Source organism: Homo sapiens, chromosome 16, assembly GCF_000001405.40.
Source record: "Homo sapiens chromosome 16, GRCh38.p14 Primary Assembly".
Taxonomy (NCBI): domain Eukaryota; kingdom Metazoa; phylum Chordata; class Mammalia; order Primates; family Hominidae; genus Homo; species Homo sapiens.
Genome location: NC_000016.10, coordinates 31,713,213 through 31,733,254, shown reverse-complemented (window position 1 = coordinate 31,733,254; position 20,042 = coordinate 31,713,213). Strand labels below are relative to the sequence as shown.

The 20,042-nt window shown below is 40.3% G+C and overlaps 1 protein-coding gene across 18 annotated transcripts in view, besides 3 other annotated features; it reads right to left on the bottom strand.

Moving 5' to 3' along the window:
* The window catches only part of KRABD5 (KRAB domain containing 5), a 48,322-nt gene extending 28,311 nt beyond the window's left edge, over nt 1-20,011 (bottom strand). For 4 of the 18 annotated variants that reach the window (NM_001130913.2, NM_001394179.1, NM_001394185.1 and 1 more), the window contains exons 1-3: nt 19,820-20,011; nt 10,503-10,629; nt 9,902-9,997 (exon numbers count right to left, since the gene is read on the bottom strand). In NM_001130913.2, the coding sequence (NP_001124385.1) occupies nt 9,902-9,997; nt 10,503-10,629; nt 19,820-19,822 (226 nt within the window). In that variant the 5' untranslated portion in view covers nt 19,823-20,011. Of the gene's footprint in view, nt 1-9,901; nt 10,195-10,502; nt 10,630-14,201; nt 14,343-18,837; nt 18,889-18,964; nt 19,171-19,747 lie in introns of all 18 variants that reach the window. The other 14 variants (XM_047433621.1, NM_001394173.1, NR_172085.1 and 11 more) reach the window with 12 other exon arrangements.
* Nucleotides 18,551-18,600: an enhancer, noted in NCBI's record as "active region_10768". NCBI's record gives its function as "activates an Ori minimal core promoter by ATAC-STARR-seq in GM12878 lymphoblastoid cells {active_cell/tissue: GM12878}" and the evidence as "EXISTENCE:reporter gene assay evidence [ECO:0000049][PMID:35858748]".
* Nucleotides 19,575-19,634: a silencer, noted in NCBI's record as "silent region_7426". NCBI's record gives its function as "represses an Ori minimal core promoter by ATAC-STARR-seq in GM12878 lymphoblastoid cells {active_cell/tissue: GM12878}" and the evidence as "EXISTENCE:reporter gene assay evidence [ECO:0000049][PMID:35858748]".
* Nucleotides 19,725-19,844: an enhancer, noted in NCBI's record as "active region_10767". NCBI's record gives its function as "activates an Ori minimal core promoter by ATAC-STARR-seq in GM12878 lymphoblastoid cells {active_cell/tissue: GM12878}" and the evidence as "EXISTENCE:reporter gene assay evidence [ECO:0000049][PMID:35858748]".
* Nucleotides 20,012-20,042: the final 31 nt, after the last annotated feature.

Here is a 20,042-nt window from a genome sequence, read left to right as displayed (position 1 = left end):
GAATAAAGCAATCATTAACAGCTAAGAAAAAAAAATATACAAGATAAGTCATGAACAAAGTAGAGGCAATATTTATACAGATGAATAACACGTAGTATTTTATAAGCAACAGGCATATAGCTAATTCATATCTAAACATCATATTGTCTTAAAGTGTACAGAGTTGAAAATTATCATCCAATTCATAATATCAAGGTTGAAAAGCAAAAATACAATTAACTGATCTAAGGAAACCTATCTGAAAAAAAAGAAACACAATCATATGGAATCAATAACAAGAATAAGAGAAATTTTAGTGCATAAAATAATAAATACATCATAGATATTCTATTAAAAAATAATGCTTTAGATATTTACAACTATCAACTGTGTACACCCATGAAGAACAGGCATTTTGAATCAATGCCATTCAATGAATGGCAGTAAAATGTCACAGGAAATGCATTACAATCATTAATAATTAGCTCTAATGAGAAAATTTTAATGAGTAAATATTCAAAAGACACTAGGAAGACTTCTTTATCATGTTATCAATATATTGGTGCTATTCTTACATAAAATATAATGGCTATAATAAAGTCTTTAGAAGCTAAAAATAAAAGCTTTCTATTTCCAAATACAGGAACAACATAAATGTTGCAAAATATGGTGAGAATTACTGAAATGTAAAGTCAGTATTTGGGATTACATTATACATCATTTAAATACAGGCTAAAAAAATATATAAATCTTAACAATTCTTTTTTGCTTGCAGTAAACTTAAACTTATAATCAAACATATTAATAAATATGTGGTACCCACTAGTAATCTAATTTACATCTTATACAATGCGTACATTTCAGCATTTTATTTCAGAACTTTTGAATCTAAAAATCAGACAAATTTGATATATATTTCAGAAAGGGAAACATACAAGATTAGAAACATAAGCAAGATGACAGAATAGGAGGCCCCCATGCATATTTCTCACAACATAATGTGGCAGCCATGCCAAACACAACTGCCTTTATGGGAGCTTTGCAATCCAGGTCACAATTTCTGACACCCAGCTGGAGCCCAAGATCAAGGAGGACAATTTGAGGACAAGTCCTTAACCGAAGGGTAGGCTTATTGATCATGGTTCTGGACACAAAACAAAAAAATTGCTATATCTGACTGTAGATTTAGCTATGGCTCACTTGGTCTTGGTCCTGCCACTCAAAAAATCTTCCAAGAATCCAGGAGGATTCATTCCCACTTGAGATTCAGGTGACAGGCCTGAAGATCCTGGTCTTGTCTGTGCTCCCTGAATAAGGCAAAATCTATCTCTGTCAACTCTCAGTCATGGTCTGGAAAAAATCCTGTCCACACAGAGACCCTCAGGAAAAAATATCCATCTGTGCCCCTGGATGTAGAACTGTCAACACTGACCCAAATGGGAATCCTGAAGTGGCACTGAAACTTTGCTTCAGTTTCATGCAGCCACAGGTCAGGAGTTTTGCTCAACCTGGGACCTGCCTGAAAGCACACACATCTGTGCCCCTGGAGCTAGACTTGCTGACATTAGTCTCACTGTGAATCTTAAAGTAGCCCTGTAAGTTTGGCTCTACTTTCTGTCAGCCAGGGTCTGGGAGCAGTTCTGCTCAATGAGAAACCTGGAAGGAGACAAGCCATGGGCCCAGGGCCCATATCCTGCAGCACCCCTATGAATCAGTTCCAGACCCTCTCAGCTGTGACCAGGGGTCAGTCATGTCCATCAGTGACTTGTTCAATGACTGGATGAAACCACTCCCAGAGACTCCGCAGGAGCCACACCTGTCCACATCTATTCTATCAGCACCCCCATTCTGCAGAAACAACTACAATTCCTTATCTTAGAACCAGCCCCAATGCTCAAGATCCTGAAGAAAGTTGTCTTCCCAGAGAAGAGACGGGATCCATGACTATCTATGCCCTGCTAGTAGGTCTGTCAACCATAAAACCCACTGCAGACCCAGTAGCAGTCATGTGACATGGCTCCAACACACTCAGGTGCAATCTTAGTCAAAATCTCATCAGCTCAGGATCTGAAAGAAGAAAGTATTTATTTCCCAAAACTGTCTATAATGACTGGAAGAGAGGTTTGCTCCTTCACATTCAGGGACATAAACATAAGCCTACACAGATTATAAAGAATCAGGCAAACTACCACCACCAAAGGAAATTAAAAAGCCATAGTAATCATCTCCAAAGAAATGGAGATCTGAAAGTTGGCTGACAAAGAATTCAAAATAATCATCTTAAAGAATTTCAATGAGATGCAAAAGAACACAGATAGATAACTAAAAAGTTTTATAATACAATACTTGAACAAAATGAGAGTTTTAACAGAGAAATAGAAACCATTAAAAGGAACCAGATAGAAATCTTGGAACTAAAGCGAACAATGAAAGAACTGAAAAAATCTAACAGTTTTAACAAGAGACTCAATCATGAAAGAAGAAAAAAATCAGCAAACTTAAAGACAGGTCATTTGAAAGTAATCAATTAGAAAAAAATATGAAAGCATGAAGGAAGCATATAGCCTGTATAGTATATCATAAAGTGAACAAATATACATATTTTAGGATTTTCAGAAGAAGAAAGAAAGAAGAAAAAAGATTAAAGATATAATGTCTTAAAACTCCCCAAATCTGGAAAAGGATATGAACAAGAAGTTTCATAAAGCTCAAAATACCCATGGCAAGAAGAACCTAATGAAGATTCCCCTGGGGCATATCATAATTAAACTGTCAAAATTCAAAGACAAAGCAAGAATCATGAAAGCAGCATGAAATAAGAGATTCTTCACATACAAGGGAAACTTTATAATGTTATCAGTAGATTTTTTAGCAGAAACCTTACAGGCCAAATGGGAGTGATACCATATATTAAAAGTGCTGAAAGAAGGAAAATTAAACAAACAAACAAACAAAAAAGACAACTAAGTAGGCTATACACAACAAAGCATCTTTTAGAAATAAAAGAGAGATGAAGACATTTCAAGACCCCCCCACCAAAAAAAAAATTAAAGGAATTCATCACCACTAGACCTGTCTAGAAATGCTAAACGACTAAAGGGAATTACTCAAGTTGAAGTGATGAAATGCTAACTAAATATGAAAACATTAAAACTACAAACATCACTGGAAATGGTAAATAGTGAAATTCAGAATACTCGAATATTGTAATGGTGGTACATAAGTCACTTTTAATTCTAGTATAAGAACTATAAAACAAAACTATTTTTTAAAAGTATAGCTATGATAATTTGTTAATGAATACAAAATATAAAAAGTTTTAAAATGTGACATATATAGTATAAAATGTGTGAAGGGGAGGAAAAGCATAGAGTTTTTCTATGCATAAAAGTTGGATAATTATCATCTTAAACTAGGCTGTTATATGATGTTTTATGTAAGTCTTATAACCACTAGAGAAAAAAAAACTGTAGTAGATACAAGAAAAAAAGAAAGTAATCAAAGTATATAAAAACAACAAAAACAAGACAAAAAATTAACATGACCAAAGCATAAGAGGAAAAAAGAAACAAAGTATAAAATAGAAAACAAACTTATAATAGTTACCTATCAATAATTACATATAAAGAGATTAAATTATCCAATAAACAGACATTGATAAAGACTGAATGTCACTTCCAAAATTTAGGTTAAAATTTAATAGCCACTGTGATAGAATTAAGAAGTGGGACTTTTAAGAAGTGATTAGGCCATGAGAGCTCTGCCTGCATGAATGTATTAATGTCCTTATCACAGCAGTGGGTTAATTATCACAAGTGTGCGTTTGTTATAAAAGGGAGCTCTCTCCCCCTCGTGCCTTTGGCCATGTTATTATGCAGCAAAAAGGTCTTCACCAGATGCCAGTGTCATGCTCTCTGCCTTCCCTGCCTCCAGAATCACAGGCTAAATTAATTTGTATTCCTTATAAATCACCCATTTCATTATAAAATACCCTGTGAATATTCTGATATAGCAGCACAAAATGGATTTAAAACAGACAGTGGCTGAATGAATTTTTAAAAATCCAGTGACAGGTTGCTTACAAGAGACTCACTTTTGATTTAAGGACAAACATAAGCTAACAGTGAAAGAACTGGAAAGGATATTCCATACAAATGATAAACAAAAGAGTGCAGGCAGGGGTAGCTATACTTACATTAGACAAAACAGGCTGTCTGACAAAATCTGTCACAAGAGACAAAGGAGTTAACTATATAATAATAGAGAGGTTAATTTGTCTAGAGGATAGAGCAATTAAATAGATATATGCACCCAACACTGGAATACTTAAATATATAAAGCATACATTAACAGAACTGGAAGGAGAAATATACAGAAATACAACAAAAGAGAACATTAGTACCCTACTTAAAATGGATAGATCATTCAGGCACAAAATTAAGAAAGCAGTGCACTACTATAACACTATAGACTAAATGTACATATAACATCCCATCCAACAATATGAGAATACAGTCTTCTAAGAATACATGAAATATTCTCCAGGACAGATCACATGTTAAACCAAAAGTAAAAAGCAGTAAGTCTTTTCAAATGTATAAAGATTAAAATTATATCAAGTTTTTTTTTCTGATTGCACTGATATAAAACTGAAAATCAATAGCAGAAAGAAAACTGGAAATTCACAAATACGTAAATATTAAACAACACACTCCTGAAAAATCAATAGGATGAAGAAGAAATCAAAAGAAAAATCTAAACATATCCTGAGACAAATGAAATTGGAAACACAAGAAACCAAAACTTCTGTGATGCAACCAAAACAGTTCTAGTACAGAAGTTTATAATAATAAAGTTCTACATTAAGAAAAAAAAAGATGTTGAATAAGCAATCTAACTCAATTCCTCAAGAAACTTGAACATGAACAAAATAATCCCAATGTTAGCATAATTATGAAAATAGTAAGAATTAGAACAAAAAGAGACTAAATAAAGACTAGAAAGGCAATAGAAAAGATCAAAGAAACTGAATTGAGTTTTTCAAAGAAAACAAAATTGAGAAACTTTTGGCCAGATTAAGCAAAGGATCAAAAAGAGAGAGGACTCAAAAAATTATAAGTGGGCTGGGTGCACTTCCTCATGCTTGTAATCCCAGTGCTTTTGGAGGCCATGGCAGGTAAATCACTTGAGCCCAGGATTTGGAGACCAGCCTGGGCAACATAATGAAACCCTTCTCTCTAAAAAATACAAAAATTAGCTGAGCATGGTGGTACACCCCTGTAGTCCCAGCTACTTGGGAGATGGGAGAATAACATGAGCCTGGGAGGTTGAGGCTGCAGTGAGTTATGATCATGCCACTGCACTTTGGTTTGGACATCAGAGTGAGACCCTGTCTCAAATAAATAAATAAATAAATACATAAAAGAAAGAAGGATGAGTCATTACAACTGACAACACACAAAGAATAATAAGAGACTACTATGAACAATTATATGACAACAAATTGGATAACTTAGAAGAAACAGATTCTTAGAAATGAATGACTCACCAAGATTAAATCACAAAGAAACAGAAACACTGAACAGACCAATAATAAGAAAGGAGATTGAAGCAGTTATAAAAAAATCCAATGAGAAAAAGCCCATGACCAAATGAATTCATGGGTGAATTGTATCACACATTTAAAGATGAATTAATGTCCATCCTTCTCAAATTCTTCCAAAAAATTGAAGGGAAAAAACACTGCCCCTTAGTTTGCATGTAATGAAAAGTGGGTATATAAGTACATGACTGCAGAACTGCTCCTCTCAGCACACTGCCTACAGGGTAGCCTCGCTCCACAGGAGCAGTCATAGAGCTGCAACACTGCCAGCTCAATAAAGCTGTTTTCTTCTACCACTATCTTGCACTTGAATTCTTCCTGAGTGAAGCCGTGAACCTTCCCAGGATAAGCCCCAATCTGGGGGCTCACCTGCCCTGCAACAAGAGCAATTAGGTAAAAAAAAGAAATAAAAGGCACTCATATCAGCAACGAAGAATTGTAATTTTCTCTGCTTGCAGATTAGGTGATTTTATATACAGAAAACCCTAAAGAGTATACAAAAAGAGTTAGAGCTAATACTCATTCAGTAAAGCTGAGGTCACAAAATTACCATACAAAAATTAGTTGCATTTCTATATACTAACAATTAATGATCTGAGAAAAAAAGTTAAGCAAACAATCCAATTTATAATAGCATCAAAAGTATAAAATTCTTATGATTCCATTTAACAAAGGAGGTGAAAGATCTGCTCAGTAAAATCTGTAAGACAGTGATGAATACAATTGAAAAAGACACAAATAAATGGAAAGATATCCCTTGTTCATGGACTGGAAAAATTAATACTGATAAAATGTCCACACTACACAAAGTGATCTACAGATACAGTGTAATCCCTATTAAAATTCCAATGTCACTTTTCAGAGAAATAGAAATAAATTCTAAAATTTATTTTATTTTATTTTATATATATTTTTTGAGGCAGAGTCTCGCTGTTGCTCAGGATGGAGTGCAGTGGCGTGATCTTGGCTCACTGCAACCTCCGCTCCTGGGTTCAAGCAATTCTCTTGCCTCAGCCTCCTCAACAGCTGACATTACAGGTATGCACCACCACACCTGGCTAATTTTTGTATTTTTAGTAGAGACGGGGTTTTGCCATGTTGGCCAGGCTGGTCTTGAACTCCTGGCCTCAAGTGATCCACCTGCTTCGGTCTCCCAAAGTGCTGGGATTACAGGTGTGAGCCACTGCATCTGGCCTCCAAATTTCTATAAAACCACAAATGACCACAAATAGCCAACACAATCATAAGAAATAAGAATGAAGGTGAAGGCATCACACTTCTTCATTCCAAACTATTACAAAGCTATACTAATAGTGAGTATTATATTGACCTAAAAAGACATATAGACCAATGGGACAGAACAAGGAAACCAAAAATAACCCCATGTGTATAGAGTTAGCACTCTTTGACAAGGGCACCAAGATACACAAAGGGAAAAGGATGGTCTCTTCAATAAATGATGCTGGAAAAGGTGGATATTTATGAGCAAAAGGATGAAATTGAACATTTATACCATATACAAAAATGAACTCAAAAAGAATTAACACTTAAATGTAAAACCAGAAACTGGATAACTTTTAGAAGAAACACAGGGAACAAACTCTTCAACATCAGCCTTGGTACTAATTTTTTAGATTTCACACCAAAAAAGCACAATCAACAAAATCAAAAAACAAAAACAAAAACAAGCGGGACTACATCAAACTAAAAATTGCCTGCACAGCAAAGGAAACAAAGAACAACATGAAAAGGCAACCTAAGGACTGGCCTAAGGACTGGGAGAAAATATATCTGATACGAGTTTCATATCCAAAAGATGTAAGAATCTCACACAACTCAGTTGCCAGTAAATCTGACTTAAAAATATGCAAAGGACCTGACTAGAAAGTCTTCCAGGGATTACATAAAAGTAGCAAACAGGTTTAAGAAAAGGTGCTGAATATAATTAATCATCAGGGAAATGAACACCAAACCTCAATGAGCCATCACCTCACATTTACAGAGAGATAACACAATGAGATATCAGATCATGAGATATCACCTCATACCGTTAGAATGTCTACTATCAAAGAGACAAGCGATCACAAATGTTGGTGACAGTGTGGAGAAAAGGAAACGTTGTATGCCATTGGTGGAAATGTAAATTGATCCAGCCATTATGGGAAAAAGCATAGAGGCTCCTCAAAATATTAAAAATAGAAGTACCATATGAACCTCAATTCCACTTCTAAGTATATACCTAAAAGAAATACAATCTGGCAGGAGCAGTGGCTCACGCCTGTAATCTCAGCACTTTGGGAGGACGAGGTGTGCGGATCACTTGAGGCCAGGAATTCGAGACCAGCCTGGCCAACATGGCGAAACCCCGTCTCTACTAAAAATACGAAAAAATTAGCCAGGCGGGGTGGCACAAGCATGTAATCCCAGCTACTTGGGAGGCTGAGGTGGCAGAATAGCTTCAACCCAGGAAGCGGAGGTTGTAGTGAGCCAAGATGGCGCCACTGCACTCCAGCCCGGGCAACAAAGTGAGACTCCATCTCAAAAATAAATAAATAAATAAATAAAATCAGTATGTTAAAGAGATATCTGCACCCCTATGTTCACAGCTGATTATTCAAAATATATAGTGGAATATTATTCAGCATAATGAAGAAGGTAGTTCTACCATTTCTGACAACATGGATGAATGAACCAGGTGGAACTATGGTAATTGAATAAGATAGAGAAATACAAATACTGTATAATATCAGTTATTTGTGGAATCTAAAAAAAGGTGAGTTCATAGAAGTAAAGTGTAGAACGGGTCCCAACAGCTGACAGGTGGTAAAACTGGGGAGATACTGGTCAAAGAGTACAAACTTTCATTTAAAAGATAAATTCTGGGGATCTAATGTAAAGCATTATGAATATAGTTTACAATACTCATATATACTTGAGATTTGCTAACACAGTAGATCTTTTTTTTTTTTCTTTTTTTTTTGAGACGGAGTCTTGCTCTCTGTCACCCAGGCTGGAGTGCAGTGGCGCGATCTCGGCTCACTGCAAGCTCCGCCTCCCAGGTTCACACCATTCTCCTGCCTCAGACTCCAGAGTAGCTGGGACTACAGGCACCCGCCACCACGCCCGGCTAATTTTTTTTTTGTATTTTTTAGTAGAGACGGGGTTTCATCGTGTTAGCCAGGATGGTCTCAATCTCCTGACCTCATGATCCGCCTGCATCGGCCTCCCAAAGTGCTGGGATTACAGGCGTGAGCCACCGCGCCCGGCCCACAGTAGATCTTTAATGTTCTCTCCACAAAAAACCTGGCAACTATGTGAGATGATTAATATGTTAATTAATTTATTTGTATTAATCAATACACAATGTATACATATATAAAATCAAACGATCAGGATGCACCTCTTAAATATATATAATTTACAAGTGTGGGAAAAAAATCCACATGAAAGAAGGAAGGAAAAGAAAAAAGAAAAGGAAAAGAAAGAAAACGAACATAAAGAACACATTCTCATTAAGCTTCACAGTTAACCAGACAAAATTATAAAATGTTATGAATATATAAGGTAAGAGTTGAAAGTTCACTATATACTGGACAATGTTGTAAGCTTCCCATAGACATTCATTTAGTTAAGAATTCTACATAGTAAGTAATATATTAAATGATTTTAAATCTGTGGAATTTGTGCATACAGAGATTATATTTCTAATCTTAGTTTAGGCTAGGAAAGATGAAAAGTTGAAGTGAAATACAGAATCAGATTTTTTTTTATATTTAGGAAGATGTTTTGCACTCTGATGAATTACTGAGTCTCAATTTTTGTAGGATCATCTGGGAAACCACCATAGGATTAGAAATTAATATACCAGAAAATATGTGACATCTATCCACAGAATTCCTGGGACTTCTGAAAAAAATCCTACTGTCCATCACTCGCCTCACACACTTCTGACATGAGGCAAAACCAGAACTTTAGAAGTGGTTTCACATAGAGGTAGAAACATGCACAGACTTTCCCAGAGCCCCCAAATCAATGGAAGAACAGTCAGATCACGCAGGCCCTCACAGGCCAAGGGGAGCACTTTGGCTGTCACTGTGAATTTGATGGTGGATCACAGAAGGGTAAGGAGAATAATCAGATAATTTAAGAATATGAGACAGAAGATGTCCCTCTGTGACAGCAGCAAGAGAAAGAAATAAACCCAGGTGTCTCAAAAATCATTTCCACTGGAGAACTTCCCAATCCACACTTCAAGGTCTGGTTCTTTCTTAATCTCTGGACCTCTCGCCCATGTCATCTACTTCATTCACTCCCACCTACCTGGCTGGATGGCTACTGTCTCTGCACTCTTCACATTCCAGGGCTCTTTCCTTTGCTCCAAAAAGGTGATCAGGTCCGGCTTAGAGACAGCGAGACCTGTTTTATTAGAAAAAGTCACATGACTCTTGCTGGGAGTTCTTTAATTGCCAGCTCAGTAGGATACTCAGTAAAGAGGGAACATTATAGAGGATCCTAGAAAATTACTTCCCCAAATACTGTTTCCTGTCAGCTTCTTTAGAATATTCAGGAAGCATTTTAAACACAGGAATCCTGAGCTTCACTTCCAAGTATGACTAAATCAAAAATAAGGAGAAGGAATTAGATTTTAAAGTGTGGGCAATGATAGTTTATGTCACTCAATTTTCTAGAATCACTACTAAACTAGAGTGAAGCTTCTACATCACCTCAAGAAAGAAGGCAAATGTCAAGATCAAACATTAGGAAGTCTTTTCTACAACAAACCCACAATTTTTTTTTCCTGGAAACAGGAATCTGAATTCATTCATATAAAGCATAAGCTCCCAAGTGACATTCTACAAAGGAAAGAAATAAAACCCTTAGTTATTAGATATTAGATATTCCAAAGGCAAGTTATCCTCACCCAGAGAGACCAGGTTTCCGTAGTTCTCTAACATCACATCCCCATATAAAAGCTTCTGATCTGAGTCCAGGTGTTCCCACTCCTCCCGAGAGAATTCTATGGCCACATCCCTGAATGTCAACAGTCCCTGAAATAAAAATAAATAGCACATTGACCATGTGGCCATGGGCAGAGTTCATCACTTGACAAACCAAGATGAAATAAGAGAGCTAAGAAAACTGACTGATTTATATGAGTGACCTGAAATATTCAATAAGATACTTTTAAACACAATAATATTTTCTATGTATTCTCTAACTCTGTGGAAAGAGAATGATACAAAATCCACAAAACCAGTGTAGATACTATGCCTATATGGAATATAAAGTATAAAACTAAGGCATCGAGGCCGGGCGCGGTAGCTCATACCTGTAATCTCAGCACTTTGGGATGCCGAGATGGGTGGATCACCTAAGTTCGAGACTAGCCTGGCCAACATGATGAAACCCCATCTCTACTAAAAATACAAAAAATTAGCTGGGCGTGGTGGCACATGCCTGTAATCCCAGCTACTCAGGAACCTGAGGCAGGAGAATCACTTGAACCAGGAAGTGGAGGTTGCAGTGAGCCAAGATTGCACCACTGAACTCCAGCCTGAGCAACAAGAGCGAAATTCCGTCTCAAAAAACAAAAACAAAAAAACAAAAAACAAAAAACTAACGCATCAACATAGGAGTATACATTTTTTAGTCTATATTTACATCATCCACAATCAGTTGTATATAATTCTCAGGTGGAAAAGTCATGGTGACTTAGAGGCATACTTCTGAAATTTTATTGTGTTCAGCAATAAACTGCAGAACTGGTTCAAATGCAGATTCTGATTCAGGAGATCTGGGGCTGGGGCTGGGGCTGCGTTTCCGCATTTTTAACAAGCTTACCAGTGACACCAATGCCTCAGGTCCAGAGGCCACACTTTTGAATAGCAGAGAGGTTGAACACTGAACGAAGAATTCAGGGATGATGTGGAATTGAGAGTTTTATGAAATTTACAGGTTATAACATAATAGCAAGAATAGTAGAATCCTTTTTGAACACTTACTATTTACTAGATGTCATCCTAGCAGTTTTTCATGTATTGATAAAAACCACAAAAATCTATATGAGAAATAATACTATTCTTCCTCTTTAATAAAAATATTTTGCTGACCCTTCCCCTCTCTGTCTCAAGCCTGAAAAAAAATTTTTTGCCAAATATCTAGTATATAGTAGAGCTTATTTTATTATTTATTTATATTTATTTATTTTTTTATTTATTATTTTACCCCAGTATCTAACTTAGAATTCATTTTAAAGGGACATACAGGCCAATATGCAGAGATAAGTAAAAAAGAATGTTCAGAGCAGGTGTCACAACTGAGAAGAAGATGAAAACAGGAAGGCAGCAACACAAAACTGATCAAATGATGCTTATGTCACACGCACATACGTACATAGAAATGGTAACTATACATACATGAAAAGTGACAGAACATTTCTTAATTAAGAAATATTTTAAATTGTGTTAAAACTATATGGATGATGGCTTTTTCTGTTTTTTAACAAACTATGAAGACTAACACATTCAATGACATAAACTAAAATAAGAGCTTGTGTTTCTGAGTCTAGTTCTTTTCCCCAAGTTTTTATTTATTCTAAGTGCTGTTATATTTTAGAATTTTAAGACAGTAGATATATTAATTATATGTTAATTGTTGTTATCTTTCTCTGAAAATACAGAGAATAAAGGAGTGTATGCTTGTGAAATTAGCAAATTAAAATGGAAACCTACAGAAGTGAGGCTTGTTTCAGAATTTCCAGTTTCAAAAACCAGTATTTACGGTCAACAAATGTGAGAGCCTTCACTCTCCAAAGCAACCCACAAGCAAAGGGAAACTAAAGAGAAATGGCAGTCTCTGGATTAAACATGATGGTTTACATGCATCACTCAGTAAATCCTCCCTCCTAGAAACACATTAACAACAAAGAGAAAAATAACTAGTGAAGGAATCTGGCAGAGAGCACCTGAACCAGGTGAATGAAGTTAGCATCGACTGTAATGAGACGAATTGGTATCAATGCTCACGCACTGATGGACCCATAATCGTTGTATATTAGTGGGGGAAAAAAGTAAATCATAGTCTGGGTATAATAATAAACAGAATATGTGGAGGAACATACAGGTGGCCATATTTCTTAAAACTGGCCATGTGACTCTACTTAGAAGCCTGAGCTGAGAATCACTTAACTAAGCATTCCCTCTCAAGCTTCAATATGCATACACATCATTTGGTATTCTGGGGCCCGTGCTAAGTACTGTGATTCTGCAGGTTTGGAAAAGTTCCATGAATTGGCTTAAGACCCATAATCAGTAGCACACAGCTAGAGGAAGCGGGCACAAAACACAGGGTCCCTTACACCCAATACTCTAATCACAACGCAAATACTTTTCATTCACAGCGAGGACCACCAACCACTGTCCTGAAAAATCACATCCTTTGCCAGCCATTTAAAGTCTACAGAGGCTGGAGAGGACAGTAACATCTAAGTCAGCATTTGGAAAACAGCATGGATACATGCATTAAAGCAGTGTTTACTGAGCTTGTACTGTGTGCTCACAGTATGCACTGTGCTGGCAACATCACATGGTGTGAGTTAAGCCATATAAACCCCTGGGATGTGGGTCCTGAGTATCCCATAATTCCCAGCAGGATTTAGATAATGGCCTAGCCTTTCTCTCTCTTCTTCTGTTTCCCTGTCACTATAAAAGCTAACTATAGACAGATGGGAGAGATACGGAAAAGAAGGGTGAAGTTTAGTTCTTAAGGATTTCTCACTGTAGTCTTTACATTGACTTTGTTACTACTTGTGAAGCAACTACTGGGTCTGCAGGAATGGAAAAAGGTTGCCAGGTGGGATGTCTCTAGAAACACTGTTCTCAATGAAGAAAAAAATTCAGGCCCCCATATTGTCCTTTGCTCCCATTTAACTGCTTTTGGGTTTGGGGAAATTGTGAGCACTAGCTCTGGAGAACCAGCAAGAGCAACCACTCAGAAGTCTGATCTCCAACAAACAGTTCTGTGAGGGTAGGCTCCAAGGTGGGGCCAGACCTGAACCAAGCTCAGAAGAGGGTGCATTTGGGCAGGGTTGGGGCAGAGCAAGGCTAGGGACACGGGTCAGGCCCTAGGCTTCCCATCTCTATGTTGCTGATTTAAGTCCTGTCTTTCCTAAGCCTGGCCACAAGAACTTGACTCCCAGAGTTTTTCTGATTTTTGACCACAAGAACTTGACTCCCAGAGTTTTTCTGATTTTAACTGTTTGTTTCATCCTTAAGTATTTTGTAAATCCATTAACAAGCAATTTAATCAAAACATGTAGGGCCTTCTGGGAAAATTATATTAAAAAGCAAATCAAGAGAAAATCAATAGAAATAATAATAACAACTCTTCTGTCCATGGGTGGCCCTTCAGATTGTGACATCAGAACTCACAAGGTCAAATAAGGACAGTGTCCCAAATCAAGCCCAAGTTCCCTGTATACCTCCGTGCTTGCACCGGATCACATGATGCTGAATTTGGCCATTATCCATCTGCTCTAGACTGAAAGTTCCCAGATGGTAGGGACTATGGCTGCTACAAATGTTTTTCTAATGGCCATATGAAATGGAAGCAATTGGTTTACCTATCAGTATGAGTCTCCAGAACTCCTCTTTGTTCTTCGTCCACGTATTAGAAAACTGGAGCAAATCCCATTTGGATACCAAATAAAGAGATTCCTTCTGTGAGTGGAGGAACAAATCCTGGATGATGCATTCCTTTCCTTCTGAGATGGAAAGAAATTAGACCCTGTTGTCAGCCTGACCTCAGTCTGCACAGGACATCACCAAATGTCCCAAGGACTCCAAGGTGCTGGTGAGGGAGTTCCTGGTGATCCTGTACTGATGCCCCAGTAGTGATTTGGGCAGGAGAGACTCAGGCTGACTCTGTGGGGCCAGGATACAAAGTGGAACTGCCCCAGTGGAGCCACAGATTCTGGATCCACGTGTAGTATTACCTATACCTGATCAGCTAACTCTTGGGTACAAGAAAGGACAAGATTACCCTACTCCAGTAACACAGCTCACAGGTAGGTGTAGCTTCACTCACGGCTCTGGACAGTTGTGGCCCTGCCCTCCCTCTGCTAAGGTGCTGCTTTACACTTACAGATTCTGCCACCATGTTCTGCTTAGACCAGAAGGCCCTCACAGAACTGCAGCAGCTCACTGGACAAGATCTGGAAAACTTAAAAGACCCCACACAAAAAGTAGGGCTTTACAAGGTCTATGTCAATCTCTCATAATGCAGAAAATGTCCCCTGGATTTTCTATACATCCTCAGTCCAAAGTCTGGCCCTGTCTTGTGGATCCCAGGTGGAGACCAGCCTTTATGTGCAGACTCCAGGTGGAATCAACCTGGCTCTGCATTCTTGGGTGTTGCTGTGAAGAAAACTAGAGGAGACAGCCCCTCAGGAATTCTGCTCTCACACATCCTGGAGAACCCCAGGACCTGGGTTCAACATTTGGAGCTACAGATTTAGGTGCTGGAGGGGCAGAGAAGTGGCACGCACCTTCTGCACATTCATGGGCATTTGGGCAAGAGGATGAGGGGAATGTTGAGATTCTCAGGCCTACTCAATGCATGTGTGTGCCTGGTTGGTTTCCAGCCCCCATGGTCTCTGAATCGGTTTCAGGTCTGAAGATGCCAGGGGCATGGAAAGACAGAGCTGGAATGGCTAACTGATGCCCTGTGAACTTATTTTTGTAGAAATCTGGCCAAACTCTTCTAGAAGGGATTAAAGATTCCAAACAAGCAGAAAGACCATTCTGCCTGCAGATTTTCGGGGCAATAGGCACTTTGCTGCACAAATGTGGGTTGTGACAGGAAGTCTTAGAGGGAACATCCCCTCTAGAGTGAGGCCTGGTGGGCACCTTACATTTCTCAGTGTTTGGGAAATATAATTAAAAACAGAATCATGAGAAAAATGATGCACAATGGTAGAAACGAAAGAAAACTGTTCTATGACACAATGAGACCAGAATGTGAAGGACATTACAGGCAATCTGCTAAGAGATTGGAAAAACACTCACTCATGAAAAGTCACCATAATTAGTCCTCAATAGAAGACCTGACAGCACCATTTGTCAGATAAGAGTTCATCCTAAATTCACCTGGGAATTGGGAGGCCATCTGTGGTTTTTATTTGGCTATATAGTTAAAGGAAAAATAAACTTCATGTCTTCAAGACAGGTAGGTACATTTGCAACTTGGAGCCAGGGGCCTGAAGGTAGATGCCTGCTCTCCTAAAGAAACTGTAAGATACGGCTCTATCTTCTTTGCTACCTATAGTTCAAATCAATGATTCCCAGTCCTAGAGAAAGAATGTCCCGAATCAAAAACTGACAGCCAGGCACAGTGGCTCACGCCTGTAATCCCAGCACTTTGGGAGGCCGAGGCAGGCAGATCACCTGAAGTCAGGAGTTTGAGACCAGCCTGGACAACATGGTGAAACCCCATCTCTACTAAAAATACAAAAACTAGCCCTGTGTGGTGGCAGGCACCTATAATCCCAGCTACTTGGGAGGCTAGGCAGGAGAATCGCTTGAACCCAAGAGGCAGAGGTTGCAGTGAGCCAAGAACGCACCACTGCACTCCAGCCTGGGCAACACAGCAAGACTCAAAAAAAAAAAAAAAAAAAAAAACAAAGACTGACTGACAAAAGACAAAAGATCTGTTTAGCTGTTACAATGATTTAGACATATTTCCAAAAGGCAGAAAAAAACTTACATACAAAAATTCTCTAAAGTAAATGATTCAAGAAAAAGAAGGAGAGAAATATGTCTTCCCTTATTTTCAAGAAGAGTTAAGTCTCATATTTTTAATTTGTATTTGTTCTCACAACTGGGAGATCTAGGGCCATAATCTTGAATTAATGGACATCTGAATTCCAGCAGGCGCTAGATTCAGGCACCTGAGGATTTGCCTTGGACACACCGCATGCACATAAAAAGGGGTTTGTGGGCCAGGCATGGTGGCTCACGCCTGTAATCCCAGCACTTTGGGAGGCAGAGGCAGGTGGATCACTTGAGCCCAGGAGTTCGTGATGAGCCTGGGCAACATATTGAGACCCTCCCTGTCTCTACAAAAATTGCAAAAATTAGCCAGGTGTGGGGGGCACATGCCTCCAGTCCCAGTGATTGGGGAGGCTGAGGTGGGAGGATCACCTGAGCCCAGGGACGTCAAGACTGCATGATCATGCCACTGCACTCCAGCCTGGGCGACACAGTGAGAGACCCTGTCAGGGTTTGTGGGGAAGTTAAAAGGCAGAAGGGAAGGTGCTACTAAGAACTCTCACATGGGGGGCAGTGCAGAACTGGTGGAAGGACTGGTTTGTGCTACAGATACTGGCCCAGGCAAGGCTATGCTCTGACTTACTCCTGTGTCCATGCAGGCAGATGAGACTATGACTGGGTGGTCCACAAGCCTAGGTTGATGGAGGGACTGGGTTGCTGCTGCAGTTTCAGGGTCTGGGGGCAAGGATAAGCCAGGAGTCCTCTAGGCACCTGTATGGGAATTTTGGCAGGAAACTCTAGGAGCAAAGGTGCTATGGGCACAATTCCTGAGGGTCATGTCTTGTCCTGAAAGGGGCATGGCGACGCCAGTGCCTAGTGGGTGTGTTCAGAGTGGGTGGGAATTATGTGGTGGCAGCACAGTGGGGGCAGGGGTCTGTTCTCAGAACTTCTTCCCTTTCTGTCCTCAGTCGCTTCTCACCCTGGGAGGAGACGTGGAATCACAGGACAATGTGTAGGGTGACAGTCTGTGTGCAGGGGAATACAGCCTCCCTTCCTGGAGACACCCAGAGTCTCTCTCCAGCCCAGGTCCCTGTGCTATCTTTTTTATGACACTGTGTGGAGTTTGCTGAACACCAGCCAATTCTCCAACACCAACTGGTTGTCCAACAACTCAATTCTGACAGCACCCAGAGGCAGCACAGACCCCACAAGTTCAGAGTTCAGTGCCACAACACTGCCCCTCTACAGATGCCAGTCACAATTCCCCAGGGGCCATCTATACTTCTGAGCTACTGCCTGTAAGTTAGGGCCTCCCATAATACCCTACTCAAGTTCATTAATTTTATACAAGGATTCACAGAACTCAGCAAAGACTGTAATTGCATTGACCAGTTTATTATAAAAGATACAACTCAGCCTAATGGAAGAGATGTGTAGGGCAAGAGAAAGGAGTGGGGAAAAGATGGAGTAGGTAGTTAACCCTGGGAAGCAGCTGTGATGAAAGAAATCCCCCTTCCTTTTTGTTCTTCAAGAGCAGCTTACTGCAAAGAATCTTCTTCCTGTTATGACTTAGATGATGCTCCCTGTTTTAGGTATCACAAAGCCACAAACTCTCCTATTTCCTTTTTTTCCCCCTCATAAGCAATTAAATAAAGAGTTTTATCTTCGATGGTCAAAACAAAATATGTGTTAACCAAAGTTGCTTAAATTTCTCCCCTTCTCCAAGGTGCCTGAGGTTTGTCCCACCCACAGCCTGAGTCAACATTCAACCCCTCTTTATGCCCCTCCTAAGAACAGGCTGACTTCAGGGTGAAACATTCTCTGATCAGGGATCTGATTTAGTCCAGGAGTCGTGCCCTTCCCCTCCCACCTTGAATCATGTTTGCTCCTCCCTATGAAAGAAAGGCCTTTTCTGCTTCAACTGTGAGATCCACAAATATCTTACAGTTGGTGCTTTCCTCCTCTTGCAATACTCCTTTACAATTAAGGCACTTCTTACCTATATCCAGATGTTTTATTTGACCAAGTCAAGAAACAGCCCCAGGACACTAACAATTCCACCCTCAGAAAGAGCTTCCCAATCTCCCTTCCAGCCCAACCTCGACCACATCCGCCTGTGAATCCCCTGCTTTCCAGAACTCTGCAGCTTCTCCCAGTAACAAAGGGCTCCCTCCATGGCTGCTGTGAACCTCAGGGACACCTGAAGGGGGCGCTCCCCAGGAAGAACTAACTGGGCCTTCAATGACCTCCTTTTGCAGGCTCAAATAAGACTGAGGTCTTCTATGCCTAGTCAGGGTTATTCCACACACCCGCTTCTCAATTCGCAGGCTCTCTCTTTCAGGTCCATCGAGGTGGGGTGCCTTCTTCCCATCTCATCAGCTCTCCACAAGCATCTAGCGAGCTCTAAAACCTACCCCAGGATAGCAAACGTCAGACCTTCCTCCACTCTCCTGGCACTGCACGCCTTCTGGGGAGTGCTGCCAATCCTACCTCAACTGAAGGGACAGGAGCAGGTGCCCAGCCAGTCAGATGTTCAGTGACCTAACAGGTTTCAGGAAAATAGCAAAATCACTCAAAACAGTTTTTATAGAAAGGAAGGAAACTGTAAGGCACTTACACTTTATACTTCAACAGGTAAGGCCAAAATACCTCTTTCGAGCAAGAAACATGTCATTTAATTATTTCCATAATAGCAGATCATTTAGTATATGTGAACACTTCTAGGAGGTGCCAAGTCCTGTCTCATAACATTTGGCATTAAAGTCGGACATCCAGATAGCAGTAGAATATGGAACACAGATATCCACTGTCACAAATCCTCCACTGCAAAAGAGAGGACCTGATATTTTAATGAATGTTTGTAATTGACCAATTAATCTAGCACACTTTCTGTGGAAATGTATTCGTTTTCTACAGCCAAAGTGGAAGAGAGATTGTCCCTATTTCTTTTCCCCAGCAGCATTCCTAAGCTGAGCCCTGGGATTTTGAAATCGCTGCTCCAGAGGACCCTAAACCACAAACCACGGCGGCAGGCTTCCCATTTCACCAATCGCTGTTTACCTAAATCAACCCTTTAACGCTTTAAGGGTGACTCCCCTTAATTTGTAAGAGGAAAAAGGAGACTGGGACACCACGGGGCACAGTATCTTCCCACACACGAATCACACGCCGACCCGGGATTTCCCCTAAGACCCTCACGTTCTCACCGCACAATCTCGGGAGACGCCGGGCTGCGGCGACCCAAAGACGGCTCCGGCCATGGCAGAGGTCGCTCTGCGGGGTCGGGAGGGGACCGGACGCGCGGGGTCCCGGCTGCCGGCCCGGCCGCCATCTTGCGGCGGAGGGGACCAAGGGCCGAGTTGCGTCCGCGGGGACTCAGGGCCCAGACCCCGAAGCTAACCTCAAAGAGGGTTCCCGCCGCTTCCGACCGCCCCTCTCCCTCTTCTGGGGACCCCCGACCTGGCACATTCACCATTTCCCAGCTTCCGGGATGTCCTGGCGTCTGAGCTACGGATCTCCCGGTGCCTGCCGGTCACAGAGTAACAGAGGTTCTGTCTATTCTCAGAACGCGAAGCCGCCTTGGCCTCCCAGATGGAAGGACTGGGAGCCCCTGGTGAAGAGACTGAGCTCTTACTGCAGCCAACAAAGGCCACCGCCAAATCCCGGAAGCCGCCCCTGCTCTCCGGCTACTCCCG